The following is an 18,348-nucleotide window of genomic DNA, read 5'->3' on the forward strand; positions in this document are numbered from 1 at the left end:
CCTATTTTATGCAAACTAATTATTAGTGGTTACTAAGACACAGCTAGAAAGACAATGTTGAGGGAATAAAAAGACACTTTTGTGAGACGTGAGGAATGGGAAAAAAATATAGTAGGAAAGGAATGAATAAAGGTTTGAAGAGCCAAGGAAGCCTAACAGTGAAAGTCAGTCTCTGAATAAAACATGTCAGAATCTGAACCACACCAGTTCACAATTTTACTTCTTTGAAGCATATTATTAAAGATAAGGAAAGAAGTTTTGACTTCATGTGTTTATATTAATGAAATGAATCCACTTAGAATTGATATGCAAATAATAAAATATTATGTACTAAAAAAAAATTGGTATCGGCTCAATGAGAATTATAGGTAAGAAACAAGCCTTTAGGAAAATTAGCATGTTCCATCTAGGTCCTTTTTATTTTTTCTGATTATTGAGAAACTTTTGGTTTCTGACAGAGCTGTCTTTATTTTTGCTTTAGGTAGCCAAATATATGTCTATAGCTAGAAAATTTTAGGAGCAGGAAAAAGAATGCAAAAATGACATTAGTCAATAAAGTTTTAGAAAGGGCACTGACTGACTGACAACCATTTACAGGCTGATTTAAAGTCTCAAGGCAGGCCAGGTGCAGTGGCTCATGCCTGTAATCCCAGCACTTTTGGAGGCCAAAGCAGGTGGATCACCTGAGGTCAGGAGTTCAAGACCAGCCTGGCCAACATAGTAAAACCCTGTCTCTACTAAAAATACAAAAATTAGCTGGGTGTGGTGTTAAGGGCCTGTAATCCCAGCTACTCAGGGGGCTGAGGCAGGAGAATCACTTGAACCAGGGAGGCAGAGACTGCAGTGAGCCAAGATCACGTCTCTGCACTCGCCTGGGTGACAAAGTGAGACTCCATCTTAAAAAAAAAAAAAAAAGGCTTAAAATTGGAAAAAGTATGAATAACTAGAATTGCATAAGATAGTCTACTGTAATAATTGATCTGGGATAGGCAGAGATGGCAGTAAGTCACTTCTGAAACTCACCAAGTTAGGAATATGACAGAAACATGTAGTAGATAACAAATCAGAGTTAAGTATGCAAAAGACATTGGTCCAGAAGAAAAACAAAAACCAGATTTAATCTAAGACACTTCACTATCATATCTAAAGAATGTATATATTAGAAAATGATGATATCTGCGTATTATACAAAATCAGAGAAACTCAATTTGGTAGTTGGTATCTAATAGTTGTGTCTTGGTCCACCAAGTCAACTTCTCTAGCTTTCAGGGCAAGTACAAGGGAACACTTGAAGTGATCATAATCTGATGTCATTGAATATCTCAGCCATGTCCTAATTCTATGCTTAACGAAAACAGTCTTCTGATTATAATTTGATTTCCCATAAATCTCTTACAAAAGAAGAGTGAGTGGTGGCGCACACAACACAAGAAGTCTAATTTACATAACAGGTATATTTTTCACTGAAAAATATTACCTGGTATCCTGATTCAATTTTTTTTCTGATTTCAGTTAATACAAACCAGTATAACTCCCAATCTCATCATTTCTGGGAATCGATAAAATTACATTACCATACTGGGAAATTTTTCCACTAACCAAGGTAACTTATACCCTATGAAGTATCTTGGCAGTCGGCAAACTGGCTTTCTCCCAATGATACCTGTACCTATCTTGCAGTAAACCTCTTTAAAGCAGTACCAAATTAAAGACAAAAGGAATTTTAATTATAATACCCTTCAGCAAATTACCAGTTAGTTTAGATCTCATTCTTAATCTAGAATATTTAAAAGTTTTGAAAACTTTGGTCTGGTGATACGTACATTTTAAATGTTGACCTCTCACAAATTTATACATTCTACAGCATTTTTAAAAAGTAGAAAAGGAGGTATCTCTCACTTTGTATTCAAAACTGGGCAATGTATTGCTTCTCCAATATTTCTTGATTACATCCATTATTACACTTGTTTCATGACCATTATTATTGTTATCAGGACTAGTAACAAACTGCAAAAGAGTTTTGATACTGAACAAGATTGGCTTCTATCTTTACAGAGACAACCATATGGAGTTATGTCATAAAAACATCAGGAAAATGACTTACAGACAAGTTTGAACATCTTATCATTTGCTCAAGATCAGAATATATTTCAGTTCAGTTACCAATAAAATATTCATGGCACAGGCAAATGGTTTCTTAATTTTAAGATAGCATTCCTTCACTGGAAGGCAAATGTCCTGGATCATTACCATTATAAACCTTCAGAGAGGCCAAGCTAATTTCATTAGGGTGTTTTATAACTGCTCACAGAACTGGGACCTGCCATTAGAAAGGCATCATGGTCTACAGAATCTGTCAGGAGAAAATATTATAACCAAAAGATTAATTAAAAACCAACCAAATAATAACATTTTGATTTGACCATCTAAAAAAAACACAGCTGCACACAAGTAGTGATAGAGCCAACGGGAATAAAATGACTCCACTAGAAGAGATAACTGCTACAACCTGACAAGAGAACACAACGGCTGCATTTTCCAGTGTTCCAAATAGGTAAGTATACTCACTGCTTAAGACAAAATTCTTTTGCAAAATTTTCTAACCCATGAGATCACCAGAAAGGTTGGCTTTGTAAAAATTACAAAGTTGTACTGAAAATGTCAACTGATTTTGAAAAGATTTCTCTAGGTAGAAATCTGAAGAAATGGCATTACACTGTGAAGAGTGGGAGGAAGTAGGGTTAAAACTGACAATAAATATTTCTAATCTTAACATCTCAGGAATATTCTAGGACAGAATGCTGTATGGGGACTTTTTTTTTCTTTTTTTTGAGACGGAGTCTTGCTCTGTCACCCAGGCTGGAATGCAGTGACGTGATCTCGGCCCGCTACAAGCTCCACCTCCTGGGTTCACGCCATCCTCCTGACTCCTGAGTAGCTGGGACTACAGGCACCCGCCACCACGCCCGGCTAATTTTGTTTTTGTATTTTTAGTAGAGACGGGGTTTCACTGTGTTAGCCAGGATGGTCATGATCTCCCGACCTCGTGATCCGCCTGCCTCGGCCTCCCAAAGTGCTGGGATTACAGGAGTGAGCCACCGCGCCCGGCCTTTTTTTTTTTTTTTTTTTTTAAAGCATGTGCTTCCAGACGCAGCCTAAATAACGCTGCCCCAAATTCAATGTGAAAGAGTACACAGACCTGTGTCAGAAATGTTCCAAAGCTAATTAGGTGCAGTGTCTCACGCCTGTAATTCTAGCAGTTTGGGAGGCTGAGGCAGGAAGATCACCTGAGGCCAGGAGTTCGAGAAATGTTCCAAAGTAAACTGATACCCACTTAACTCATCTTTATTGTGTCTTCCTTTTTATTTCCTACTATGAAGCTTAAATGACGCCTTTGCATTATTTTTATTTTTTTGAGACAGAATCTCACCTGTCACCCAGGCTGGAGTGCAATGGTGCGATCTCAGCTCACTGCAACCTCCACCTCCCAGGTTCAAGTGATTCTCCTGCCTCAGCCTCCTGAGTAGCTGGGATTACAGGTGTGTGCCATCATGCCCAGCTAATTTTTTTTTTTTTGTATCTTTAGTAGAGACAGGGTTTCACCATGTTGGCCAGGCTGGTCTCGAACTCCTGACCTCGTGATCTGCCCGCCTCAGCCTCCCAAAGTGCTGGGATTACATGCGTGAACCACCGCACCCGGCTGCCTTTGCATTATTTTTAAAGTCACTTCTCAGCTTTATCCTCAACTGATTAATAATACTGTTCATTTTTTTCTTTTACGCTTTATGAATATCTATCCCTTTTCCATACTTCTAGCACTTGAACTTGTCTTCACTGCCTCTCTCAGTTTTCACTACCAACAACATCCTAGGTTGGCCTTCTTCACCCTAAATTTTCTGTCAATCCATCTGTATTTCACTGCTAATTGATTTTTTCTTTAAAGCCATTTTCATCAAGTTAGTAATCTGCTTAAAGACCTTTAAGTCTAAATTCTGGCCTCAATTCCAAGACTCTCCATAATCTGGTTTTACACATGGTAGTTCTTAAGTTAGATAAACCTTTCTTCACTAGCTTCTAAACCTAACATCTTCATTCCCTTTATATCTGTTTATTCCCTTTATATCTGTTGTTTCTCCATTCCCCTTTCACCATGCTTCTATTCCCTAGGCCCGTTCAGATTGTAGTAATTCTTTAAAGTCTAGTTCAAATACCACCTTCTTCATTAAGTTTTCCTGAGCACTCTCTTTTTCCTCACTATTCTTCCTTCTGTAAACATGAATACATTTATGTCCTCATCACATACTTCAATATACTCCATCATAAATTGTAGATTATAATTATATACTATTTTTACATTGTTTGCCATTGTCTCACATATCAATGCTTCTTCATAAGTGGAAGTCATATACTTCTATACCTAATAAAAGATGAACTCAAGGTGTAGACTCAAAATGATCTGTTGCATGATTTTTTCAGGACTGGTTCTGAAATAGTCTATGTCAGCTTTAATCCCACTTATTTGTACCAAATGCAAGTAAATATCTGACTGGTGTGATAAAATAAGTTATTTGGGGAAAAGATCCTTAATTTAAGCATTTAAATGTTGGAAATGTTTCTAATTAACCAGGAGATCCAAAAGAAAGCAGTTCAAGAAGCATGTCACTGAAGAGCAGAAGTCAAATCATACCCAATATTGATTTTTTCAGGACTGATTCTGAAATAGTCTATGTCAGCTTTAATCCCATTTATTTGTATCAAATGCATGTAAATATCTGAGTGGTATGATAAGTTATTTGGGGAAAAAGTCCTTAATTTAACAATTTAAACATTGGAAAGGTTTCTAATTAACCAGGAGATCCAAAAGAAAGCGGTTCAAGTAGCATGTCGCCCAAGAGCAGAAGTCAAACCATACCCAATAGAGTCCGAGGCGGGTGCGGAAGGGGATGATCCAGATGTTAGGGCAGTCTCTGCTAAGGACGCCTCTTCCTGTGGTATTGGGTGGTGTTCAAAGAACTTGGAGACAAACAGCAAACTGTGAGGCAAAACAAAACAAACCTAACTTGTGCAAAACCCAGAAGCTTCATATACCAAAATACATAGTTAACCAAAAAAACTGAGATCAAATTCCATTCTCAGAAACAACTGTTAAAATTCAATTAGTTGTATTTTTGTCTAAAGGCTTATTTTAAAAAAAATTGTATTGCACTTTCAAAGGCATGCTTATAACTTAAAACTAATCATTCAGTTCAGCAAATTTCTACATACTACAAGATGAAAATCATGCTTTATGGTTAAAGAATGAGAATAAAAAGTATCTACTGTAAATTAGGTGACATTATAATTTACTTAAAGTACAGAGTTAAGTTTTATTTGCTCAGGTGATCAAGAAAAGTAAGACTTTAACAGCAGCAGCACCAATGACACAAAAAGAGATAATAGACTCAGTCTAATCTATTAGAAAAACTGGCATACAGCAAAGAGAAATTTTAGAAAGAGATATATACTGGATACAAAAATTTTACATCTTACTCAAATAAATTGGGGGAAGGGAGCTGAATGGGGATGAAGGAGAGAGAGGAAGAATATAAACGTAATTTACAAAATAGCTAACAGAATCAGACTACCTGATCTGTGGTACAAAATCATAATGCTTAATTTAATTGAAACAACTCTCCCTCTCCTCCTAGAAACTATCCAAAAATGGTTTCTATGGGTTAGGGGTCTTGATTAATTAAACGATAATATAAAATATAAATTAACTGTATAGCTGAACCAGCATTACAATTTGGGAGAGAAATACTGTCCATTCCACATATTATTCTCTAACTACACTTAAAAAAAATTCTCTATAACAATCGTATGGAAGAAAAACCCTCACAGACTTTTAGACATCGTAGCTTCACATTAAGAAAATTTAAGTGTAAAATGGTAGGTAGAAAAGAGATATTTTTGGATTACTTACTCAAGTTGGTCATAATTAACACACATCAGTGGAACTTCTGTACTACAACGCTGGTGAAATTTATAACCACATGTTTGACAGCGGAAACCCTGGAAAAGCAGCTTTCGACAAAAGTCACAAAATGCTAAGGTGAAAAACGTTTTTCGTACCTGCAAAGTAAAAAATCACAGAGATTTCAAAAACTCACAAGAAAACTTTCTAGAAACTGACGTATCTACTCTCTTGTTTAAAATAACAAAGTTGTAATATATTTATATCATGAAACTCACATACTAAAGTACTATTATAAAATGAAAACCGGGGGTTCAAGATAATAGATGGACTACACATATTTATTTCCCACCCCACTATCTAACTTAAAAACCCAGAAGTTAAAAAATGAGAAATGAGTAAAAGGCTGGCAACTGATTTCAAGCTTGACAACATAAAAGTAAAAGTAGACATGAAAAGGAGGAGGAAACAGAGGTGAAAGGAAGAAGCCTATACTTTAATTATCATACAAAGAAGGGAGGTTAAGAAATGCCGACTGGTGTTGACGGAACAAGAAAGGCATATATTAAAGTTACAAAGGCACCCAATAGAAGAACCAAAAAACTACTAATAAAAATATTGGGGGAGAGGAGGGAGAGGAAGAACTATAAATGAGCTAATTCCTTATACAATCAGTAATCAGTATATGATATCTAAAGTTAATAAAGCAAGAAATTGTGGCTAAAAGATAATTGCAGTCATGTGTCACATAATGACACTTCAGTTAATCATGGACTTCATACCACAGTGGTCCCATAAGATTATAAAGGAGTTGAATAATTCCTATTGCCTAGTGATACCTTGAAGATCCTGACCTTGTGTAGACCTAGGCTAATGTGTATGTTTGTGTCTTTTTTTTTTTTTTTTTTTTTTTGAGACAGAGTCTGGCTCTGTCGCCCAGGCTGGAGTGCTGTGGCACGATCTCGGCTCACTGCAACCTCCACCTCCTGGTTCAAGTGATTCTCCTGCTTCAGCCTCCCGAGCAGCTGGGACCACAGGCACATGCCACTAGGCCTGGCTAATTTTCCTATTTTTTATTAGAGGAAGGGTTTCACCATGTTGACCAGGCTGGTCTTGAACTCCTGACCTCAGGTGATGCGTCTGCCTAGGCCTCCTCAAGTGCTGGGATTACAAACATGAGCCACCGTGTGCAGCTTGTGTCTTCATTTTTAACAGAAAAGTTTAAAAAGTAAAAAAGAAAAATTAAAAATTTTTAAAATAGAAGTTTATAGAATAAGCACATAAAATATTTTTGTATAGCTATATAATGTTTTTAAACTTTTGAAACTGTTATTTCAAGAGTCAAAAAGTTAAAAAAAATTAAACCTTAGTTTAATGTAAATTTTTTACTTTATAAACTTTTTAAAAAGAAAAATTTTAAAACTGTACTGTAGCCTAAGTGTACAATGTTTATCATAAAAGTCTACAGTAACAAATAGTAATGTCCTACGCCTTCACATTCACTCACCACTCACTCACCAGAGCAATTTCCAGTCCTAAAAGCTCTGTTCATATTAGGTATCCTACACAGGTAGACCATTTTTGATCTTTTATACTGTATTTTTACTGTACCTTTTCTACGTTTAGATACACAAACTTGCCACTGTGTTAAGGTTACCTACAGCATTCAGTTCAGTAACATTCCGTGCAGGTTATTAGCTTAGAAGCAATAGGCTCTACCATATAGCCTAGTTGTATAGTTAGGCTATACCATGTAGGCTTGTGTAAGCACATAACAAAATCACCATTGATGCATTTCTCAGAACATATCCCAGTCATCAGGCAATGTGTAACTGTATTTAGTAAGATGAAAATAATCACCAAAAGAGCTTAAAACAGAAACCATTAAAAATTAACAGTGAATTCCTCCAGAGTGGAATTGGGGGTGGGAGGGAGAGAGACTATAAATACAATCTACATAATAGCTAAAACAAAAACAAAAACAAAATAGCTGACAGAATCAGAACCCCTGATCTATGGTCCAAAAACATAATGGTTAACTTTGGATAAAAATGTAAAAACAATTATTTATAAAACTAGTAAGTAATCATATGAAAATTGAAACAGCTCTTCCTAATCTTACTAAAAAAAATAAGAAACAGAAAAATCACCTAAAAGACAATAAGATCTATTTTTTCTAACAAATGATCAATTTCTTAGAGGATTAGAATGTTTGGGCCACATAAACTTATTTGTGAACACTTCTCTAGGTGAAACTTAGAAGGCAACATGTTAAGAATTCCATGTCAAAGGCAAATGATGTAGAACATGAGTCACGTAACAGAACTGCACTAGGAAGAATCTATCCCACTAAAGCCAGAAATTGCTTAAAATATATTTATTTAGTGTATATAATAATAAGAAAATATAAGAATAAATATCAAAATGTGAGTGGCTACTTCAGAGTGGCGAGAGCATGGGTGACTTCTATTTCATTATTTGTTCTTTGCTCTGTATTCTTGAGATGGAGTCTCGCTCTGTCGCCCAGGTTGGAGTACAGTGGCAGGATCTCGGCCCACTGCAACCTCTGCCTCCTGGTTTCAAGTGATTCTCCTGCCTCAGCCTCCCAAGTAGCTGGGGACTACAGGCATGCACCACCATGCCTAGCTAACGTTTGTATTTTTTGGTGGAGATGGAGTTTCACCATGTTGGCCAGGCTGGTCTCAAACTCCTGACCTCAAGTGATCCGCCTGCCTCGTCTTCCCAGAGTGTTACAGACATGAGCCACCACACTCGGCCTCTATATTCTTAATTCATTTCAGTTTTTCAGAGATTTTTTTTTTGAGACAGAGTCTCACTGTCACCCAGGCCGGAGTGCAGTGGCACGATCTCGGCTCACTACAACCTCCACCTCCTGGATTCAAGCGATTTTCCTGCCTCAGCCTCCCGAGCAGCTAGGACTATAGGCGCACACCATCACACCTGGCTAATTTTTGTATTTTTAGTAGAGACAGGTTTTTTTTTTGGGGGGGGTGGTTAATACTTTTAATTACATGATTGTAATTATACAATTTCCACTCTTCAATATTTTGTATAAAACCAGTTACAACTCACAAGATTTTCAAATGAGACAGGATTTTACCAGGCTGGCCAGGCTGGTCTTGAACTCCTGACCTCGTGAGCTGCCCACCTTAGCCTCCCAAAGTGCTGGGATTACAGGCGTGAGCCACTGTGCCCAGTTTTTCAGAGTTTTAATCACAAATAATGATATTTTACATTATGACTCCATATATAACTGTATTCATACAACACTACTTACCCTGACTATATACAACATGAATTAGAACTTCCTAATCTATTCTGCTACATGTAAATTTTTTTATGATACATTAAATAGATTTCAACATCAAAAGTCTACTTTTCTTTTTCTTTTCTTTTTTTTTTGATAGGGTCTTGCTCTGTTGCCCAGGCTGGAGTATGGTGGCACAATCATGACTCACTGCAAAGTCTGCCTCCCAGGCTCAAGTTATCCTCCCACCTCAGGCTGAATAGCCAAGGCTATTGGTGCACACCACCATGCCCACCTACTTTTTGTATTTTTTTGGAGAGATGAGGTTTTGTCATGTTACCCAGGCTGGTCTTGAACTCTTGGGCTCAAGTGATCTGCCTGCCTCGGCCTCTCAAGGGATTAGAGGCATGAGCCACTGTGCCCAGCCAAAAGTCCATTTTCAATACACATTTATTTACACATTCTGTTCCATTAAGAATAGAAAGTTATTGAAAATATTTCAAGAAAATTACATCCTGATATATAATACATTCTGGCTTTTTGAGGACATTTAGTTTTAAAAGTGACTCTTATTTTCTTCACCTTTTTTCCTATGTATCACTTTCTAGGGGATATAAAACAGGTAAATGTCTATTTCTAATTGTGTTCTTTTTCCATTTGTCTCTGGATATACAAGAAATTTTAAAATCTTTAAAATTTTTTATGTGGCCATTATTCACCAAACCAAGTAGGTAGGTGACCAAAACAGCTGAAGGAAAGAAAACATGTGGATATGCATTTGATCATAAATTTTAAGCAATATATGCCTGTATCTGTAAGTATACCTTTGTCAATAAAGATGAGCACAGGAAGATATATCTTTCTTTTGGGTCACAGCTTACACTTAATCTAGTATCTGAGTATACATAAATATGTATGGCAAATTAGTGAGAGGCACAGTCAAGGTAATTTGCATGCATTAATTTGTAAGGTGTGGGGCTGTGTGAAGGAAGACACTGAGTGTCTGCAGAAAAAGGAGAAGGTTTGGATATAAAAGTTTCAAATCTTGTTTTCCCACTTCCCAGTTCCCAAGGACTCTTGGGATATAGAGAAATACTGAAGGGATTGCTTTTATAATATGAAACCATGAGGCATAAGCAGCCCTCCTTGAATAGCCAAGCAAAACCCAAGACAGCCAAGAACACTTTTCCTTTCTAAGCAGAACATAGGTTTTTGATCTTGCCTCTATATGGCACTCAGAGCAATCATTCTAACACACAAATCTAATCACATTTCTCCCCAAGCTTACAACTATTACATTTCTAATTATTTTACAGAAAAATCCAAATCTTTAATATGGCTAACAAGGATTTTCATGAGCTGGACTCTGCTTATTCTACCCACAACTCTTATTCTACCCACAATACTGTTAACAACCTACTCTTCAACCTTGTATCATCCATTCTGAACTTCTTTCAAAACTTTGAAAGGTAACATGCTTTCTTGCTCTTCCCTCTGTTTAGGGTACTCTTTACTTGATACTTACTTCCTCATCCATCAGGCCTAAGCTTAGATATTTCTGTCTCTGAGAAACCTTCCTAACTCCTCAAAAGCCAGGTTAGGAATCTCTGTGCATCTATAGAACTTTATACATATATAGTAATTATGAATGTTTATGAAAATTTATTAAATCTTCTCTCTACTCTATGGCAGTGACACTGTCTTATTCATTTGTCATATCCCTAGGTAAGATATGGTATTGGCAAATGGAAAGTTCTCAATAAAAATTTACTGGCAGGTATCCAACTGAGTGGTGACAATTTCCATACTCTGGAATCAATCTGCAGTTTGCTTTCACAATCCTTCTGTGGCAAGGACCTTCCTGAGGCATCATTTTAATACTATTTTCTCACACTTAGCAACTTAGGTCTTTCTTTTATCTCCTCATATTCAATTTCTAGCTAAGAAGAATTATTAAGAAACAGAGTAGTAATCACTATGAAATGTATGCTCAACTGTATTTGTATTCTTAAGAACTTAAATAAAAATGTTAAGATTTATCCACTTAAAATTCAACATGTTAAAAAATTATTTGCTGCACAGTAAAATTTGATTGACATTAGGTGTATCTTACACTTCTCCCAAAAAATGCCTTACAGAAACACAAACATGATTTCATTATTCACTACTAATGGAGGCTTGAAAGCATAAACCCCAAAGGAAATAATCTAATCAATCATCTGCTTTAAGAGCCCAGCTGGATTAATCACCAAGACACATGGGAAAACACTTGACGCCTAAAGGGTAGCAGTAATTATCCACCTAGAAAAAACTCTGGCCAAAATTCCATACATAGAGAAAAGTAAGAAATGTATTCCTGATTCAGAGACAACTTTTGGCTTCTGCCTGCCATTTTAGGGGATAAGTTCTCAAGTTCTATGTAGATCCTCATCTCTAAGGTGGAAAGGTCCCACATTCCGGGCCTTATGCTGGTGACCCTTAGGCTTATGCTAGGTTCTAGCAAATGCAAAAACCAGACAAAGAAAAAAGCCTCATGGAGAGTTTAATATCCAGCCATTCTATTTCCATTAACCTATCCTTCAGAAACACAAGGGTGTGTACAAGTGTGTCAAGATATATGCAGAAAGACCTTGTTTAGCCCTGTATGTAACAGATTTTTTATAATACAAAAACTTAAATGTCTATCAATAGAGAAATGGTTAAATATAATGAATTCCTATTCTTACGAATTATTACATAGTCATACTAAAATAAAGCCAGGTATACTGACATGAAAAGATGTCCGTGACATCCTGTTGAATTAAAAAAAAATAAGGCAAAGAATATCACATAGCATGGCTCTACTTTGATTTAAGAAAGGGAAAAGAAAAGAAAGTAATGAAGGAAAGAGAGAAAAAAAGAAAGGAAAAAACTTTAGGCTTACAGGTACAAGCACACGTTTGTGTACACAGAAAAAAGTTTGGAAGACAGAACAATAATCTGTTAATCTAAACAAATGTTGGCCTCTAGGAGGGTATTTTCACTTTTTTTACTTGACATACTTCTGCACTATTCAAAATTATCTTTTAACAATGCATACATTTTACTTTTTTAAATTAAAAAGAAAGTATAAAGATTAAAATTAAACTCTTGTTTAAATACAAGTTTTTAAAGAAAACAACTGATTTCAACTCAGGTAAAATGTCAGTTCCAAAATTACTCATCCATATTTCACATTCCCTAAATAAAAATTCATTCATTAAAATCTAAACATTTTTGACATTTCAAAAAAAAATGTAAAGATACATACAAAGTTGTGTGTTGTAAGTGGAACATTCTCCAACACTTCCACATGCAATTCTTCTCCAGTAAGCCAGGAAATATCAGTGTCCCAACCAATTGGTTTCTTCTCTCTGAAAAATGTAGACACAAGCCTTTCTTGGTTATTACACCTAAAAATATTCATATACCTCATGCTGAAGATATGAAAATTGGTTATCGAGGGGCTAGTAACAGTGAGGGAGGTTTGGCTCCCTAATATTCCATCGTTAGAAATTTAAATGGCAATAAATTAATTTTAAGTTTACCCCAAATAAATGTATCACTCTTGGACAAACAGCAGGGTAAAGAGATGTACTCTTTTCTTCAAGTCAGCTCCAGAAAAGACCTACAACAGCAGAAAATGGATTGTTCCTGGGGTCCAAAAAAAAAAAAAAAAAAAAAAAAAATCACAGGTACGGACTTATCTATCCATTCAAGGAAAAAGAGTACTCAAGGGACAGGGACAACATGCCCCCAAAATAATTTTTTTTTTTTTAAAGAGGATTCAAAATGTGAGGGTCTTGGAACAATGTTAGACACTTTCTGAAAGAAAAGTAGGTCAATATAAAATGTTAATTTTGATATACCTTTTGTGAAACTATGAGTTTGTATTAAAAATGGGAGGGGGGTAAGAGTCTATTATCCAAATAAATCACACTCTGAATGGTTCAAAAATTGTAAGAATCTCAAATTCCAAATAAAATCATTTGATCAAAGTAACAAACCCTACAGTCATATACAATTATTTAACTCCTCATATGGCCTACAGTATTTCTTCAGGCTAACTTAGTATTATTTTAATACTTTTTCCTAAAGTACACTTTCAATTCCCTAGGTTTTGGTAAAGATCCTAAGAAAACTTCAAAGTTTAATGTGTGATTTTCTTTTTAAACAAAATTTCACGTCACATACAAACCATACCCATCCTGAATTCTGTAAACAGCACAGCACTCTGGGATTAGACCTCTCATCATCAGTGCTTTCTTTAGACTGTCTCGGACTGTAACTCCACACCTTGCAGGTACCTATGGTATCATAAATATATTGATAAGAGGTAAAGGGAGCAAATTACATTTTTTCATATCATTAAAAAAATTTAGTAATTCATCTTTAAAAAGTCAAATGGGTTACTAGGTCAGATACAACACCATTTCTACAGCTAACTTAATACTAAAGGGAAATTATAACCCAAATATTTGTTATTATTCACCAACTTAAATCAAAGCAAAGTTAATTTTCTATTTTATTAAAATTATGAAATACTTTAAACATATAAAAAGAAGAAGTAACAGTATCTGCTACAATATACCCACCAACGCAGTATATCCATCACTGAGCAATAATAGATGTCAATATTAAAAGCAAAATCAATTTTGATCCAATACTGTTCAAAGCTGAAAACTGTATAACCCTTCAATCACACTGACTGTCCTTAAGAGACCTCTTACTGGCCCTAAACATAGCGGGAAGAAAAAAACCTGTCTTAACATGTATACTTGATATTTGTTGTTTGGTGCCCCTGTTTCCTCTGGGAATATTCCCTTCTCTAGAAATCCACATGGTACTAGAAAAGCTATCAAGGGTCACTACTTTTATGTCACTACAGATGACAGAAGCTGGCTAATCAGTTTCCCATACCCCCGGCAAGAGCAACTGGTCCAGGGCTATATATATGACCCAAACAGTACCTGAGTTCTTCCCTAAATTGACACATGGACACTGACAGAGAAAAGTCCTTGTTTCTACTGTAGTTCTGTAGATTTGCAGAAGATACAAATCTGGAGCCCTCAATGGCCATATTCTCCACCACACTGAGAAAATCTGTTATAGAATGAAGCTAACATACGAAGCAGCAAAGATGACATGGGAAGAGAGAGACAGAGAAGGAGGGAAAGGGAAAGGGAAAAAAAAAGTAATCTCTCTGTATATTTAAAGTTATCTATCTTTAGCCTTTTCCTTGCCTCATCCCCCACAGGCAAATCTGAGTTACTTGGAACTGAAGGTGTAGACTACAGTGAGGCAGTGTGAATACAGAGGACACAGTTTTTATTGGGAGGTGTAAGAAGAAGGGGAAATGTTAGTTTGTAACAATAAGTTCCATTCATTTAAATTGAGGTGCTTAGCAAACCAAAAGTTTCCAAAGAAATTGGGAATATTTATGCTAGAGGGGAAAAAAAGGGGGTAAAGGTAAATATAAGACAGCTGAATTCAAATAATATATTGAAGGGGGAAAGAGTCCAGAAAGCCTAATTAGGATCTATGACCAGAAATAACAGGACGCAGAGGGTAGTGCAATATAACCATTAAAACTATCCAGGTTGGGTGCAGTGGCTAACACCTGTAATCCCAACACTTTGGGAGGCCAAGGTGGGTGGATCATTTGAGGTCAGGAGTTCGAGACCAGCTTAGCCAACATGGTGAAACCCCATCTCTACTAAAAAACACAAAAAGTAGCCGGGCAGAGCGGCGGGCGCCTATAATCCCAGCTACTCAGGTGGCTGAGGCACGATAATCACTTGAACCCAGAAGGCAGAGGTTGCGGCAAGCCAAAATCGTACCACTGCATTCCAGCCTGGGTGACAGAGCGAGATACTGTCACAAACAAACAAAGAAAAACCCTGAACTTTTACCTACCCAGCAAGGTAAAAGTTTGTCATGAGAGACTGGGCTCATCACTGGAAGTATTAAAGAGACTGGATGGTACAGTTGATCCTCATTACTTGTGGAGTCCATACTTGAAATCTCTCTACTTGCTAAAATTTATTTGTAACTCTAAAGTCAATACTCTTAGTGCTTTCATAGACATGCGCAGAGCAATGAGATATTTGAGTCGCCTAATGCATGCACCTCTCCAACTGAGGTTGAACAGTGAAGCTTTCTCTTGCCTTCTTGTTTCAATTTTCATACTATAAACAAGTATCCTGGGCAGAGCCTATTTGGTGCCACTTTTTTCTCACTTTTGTGCTTCTTGTTGATGATTCTTCTGTTTAAAATAATCCCTAAGCATAGTGCTCACGTGCTGTTTAGGGCTGGTAAGCATAAGAAGGCTATAATGTCCCTGGCAGAGTAAGTACATGTGTTAGGCCAGCTTCCTTCAGGCATGAGTTATAGTAATGTCAGCCGTGAGTTCAATGTTAATGAATCAACAATATGTCTTTAAACAGAAACACACACAAAACAAGGTTACGTATCGACTGACTGATGAAAATGTGACTAGAGGCTGGTAGGAACCTAACTGTATTTTAAATGTGAAGGATCTGGGGTCTGATCAAGGAAAAAGATATGACCACGAGGTGGCAGTAGCATGCATAGCTTTATTGGGTGACATTGACAGATCTGCAGGCAGAGGATGTCCTTAAAGCATACTGTCCAGAGGCTAAGGCAGAGTGGCCACTACCCAAACAGGACTGGCCAGAAGCTGAGGTGGAGTGGCTATCACCCAGAAGAGGAGGGCTAGGGGACTCTCAGGGGAGAGGGGAGTAGGAGAGGGAGCTTATATGTCTAGCTGACAATGTTAGACAACCCAGCAGGGAGTCTATGTATCAAAGAGCTCCAAAGGGCAACAGCAGCTTGGAATCTTTATAGCCTTGGGATTTGATCTTATTTATACCTAATAGATGTTGAGTACAAAGCAGTTTTGTGGGGACTGCAAAGTAGGCAGGCTCTCAGTGGCTAAAAATCTGCTTATCAGGATTATATTTAAAACAATTAGATGTACAAAAAATTTAGTTTGGTGCAAGCACACTTTTAAGCCAATAGGTCTCAACCTGTTGTAATGGAAGAAACAACCTAGAGGCCAATATACAGAGGGGTTTTTTGGCTCATTTAAATAATAATAATCCTTGTACTTCCCCTAGGAGCAAGGTTCAGTGTTCACTAATTGTTTGTAGTGAATTTATAGACCATAACTACTACGAACAATGAGAACTGGTTGTAACCTTTCAGAAATAATAAACTTAAGTGAAAGCTCACTTTTCCCTGTGCCATTCGTCTTCCGCCTATACTAATGCCAAAATTTCCTGACTGGTGACCGATCTTTAGTTTTAAACCACATCCAATGTATCCTATCCTATGTTACCATAGAAATCTTTCTAAAGAAGGCATTCTTTTTTTCTTTTTTATCTTTGTTTTTAATTTTTTACTTTTAAGAAGGTATTCTTAACTTTTGGGCATGCATGTGCATGCACACCTGTGTGTGTGTGTGTGTGTGTGTGTGTGTGTGTGAGGGTGGGAGGGGGAGAGAGAGAAAGACTTCTGAGAATCTAATGAAAGCCTCAAATGTGCTCTCTGAAACAAAATTTCATAGGGTTTGTGGAATCTGAAGCCCACGCTGAGTTCACTGAACTCAGCATTTAACCCATTCTAATATATAATCTTAAATTTCACTAGTTTGCTTAAAATTTTCCCATTATTTGTAAGATAAAATTCCAATTCCATAATGTGTCATAAAAGGCCACCAATGACTTGGAGCTATCTATCCTTCAGCCTCTTTGGTAATTTCCCTTAGGCACTCCAGTAATGCACTTCAAATATGGCTATGCTCCCTCATGCTTCTCTACATATGCTGATCCTAAGTTGCATATATATTTCATCAACAGGCAAAAATTTGGTTTTCTGCTCTATTACCAAGGCAAGCCATCTATCAGTCCTTCTTAATTCCACTTTTGTAGGCTGAATTTTTATACTATTTGTTCTTTCATGATAGTACCTGTACAACAGATGAAGAAATCAATGGAACAAAACAGAAAGACCAAAATAGACCCTAACACATAAAGAAAGTGCGAATAAGATAAAGGCAACATCTGAAATGGGGTAAAGATGAACTTTTAAATAACTGATGCTGGGACAACTGGAACTAATCTAGAAAAAAAGGTTCATCCATACTTCATATTGTATACCAGAATAAACTACAAATGGATCAAATATTTAAATGCTGGAAGGAAGAAAGGGAAGGAGAGTGAAACAAACCATAAAAGAACTAGAAGAAAGCATGGCACCTTCAAATCTTCAAATGAAAAAGGCTTTTATAACTCTGATGCAAAATCTACAAGTCATAAAGGAAAAAAATATTATATTCACCTACATAAAGCTAAAAAAAAACTTTTGGATGGCAAAACAAACACATTAAAAGTGAAGTAAAAAGACAGTACAAATGGTGAAAAATATATTTGCAACTCATTTAGCAGATGTGTTAGCTTCCTGATACACAAAGAGCTCCTGAAAAATTGAGATGAAGACCAATAACCCAAGAGAAAAAGGGAAAAATATATGAGAGACAGGTCCCAGAAACAGAAGTAGAAATGGCCTTCACACATATGAAAACATGTTCAGTCTCACTCAGAGGAAAGCAAACCCAAACTAGTGAAGTTATTTTTCATTTATCAGATTGGCAAAAATCCAAAAAAAAATTGATAACATATTCTACTGGTATGAAGCTATAAACAGACATCTCATAATTAAGCAAGATCCATGAAGCGAAATTTGTATCTATCAAAGTCACAAATGCAAATTTCTCTTTGACCTAGTCAAGCATACTTCTGGGAATCTATCTCACAGATATGCCTGCAATACATAAGAATAATGTATGTGCAACATTATTCACTACAGTACTGACTGTATATCAAAAGTCTAGAAAGAACCTGAATGACCATACACACATCACTGGTTAAATACACTATAGTACATCTATACAATGGAACTGTAGTTGTATATATATAAAAAATTATGTATGAAACAAAATTTCCAGAATGGCCTACATAAACGTTAAAAACAAAATACAGAATGATATATACAGTATTATGTATCTTATGTATGAAGAGTGGGGAAA

The 18,348-nt window shown here is 36.4% G+C and overlaps 1 protein-coding gene across 19 annotated transcripts in view; it reads right to left on the reverse strand.

Moving 5' to 3' along the window:
• BRAF (B-Raf proto-oncogene, serine/threonine kinase) overlaps nucleotides 1-18,348 on the reverse strand; it is a 211,602-nt gene that overhangs the window by 82,122 nt on the left and 111,132 nt on the right. For 17 of the 19 annotated variants that reach the window (NM_001378474.1, NM_001378470.1, NM_001378475.1 and 14 more), the window contains 4 exons: nucleotides 13,443-13,546; nucleotides 12,511-12,613; nucleotides 5,963-6,111; nucleotides 4,913-5,032 (listed from right to left, as the gene is read on the reverse strand). In NM_001378474.1, coding sequence (NP_001365403.1) covers nucleotides 4,913-5,032; nucleotides 5,963-6,111; nucleotides 12,511-12,613; nucleotides 13,443-13,546 — 476 coding nt within the window. Of the gene's footprint in view, nucleotides 1-4,912; nucleotides 5,033-5,962; nucleotides 6,112-12,510; nucleotides 12,614-12,787; nucleotides 12,868-13,433; nucleotides 13,547-18,348 lie in introns of those variants that run through there. The other 2 variants (XM_047420770.1, NM_001378467.1) reach the window with 2 other exon arrangements.

The sequence above is a fragment of the Homo sapiens genome, chromosome 7 (assembly GCF_000001405.40).
Source record: "Homo sapiens chromosome 7, GRCh38.p14 Primary Assembly".
Lineage (NCBI taxonomy): Eukaryota > Metazoa > Chordata > Mammalia > Primates > Hominidae > Homo > Homo sapiens.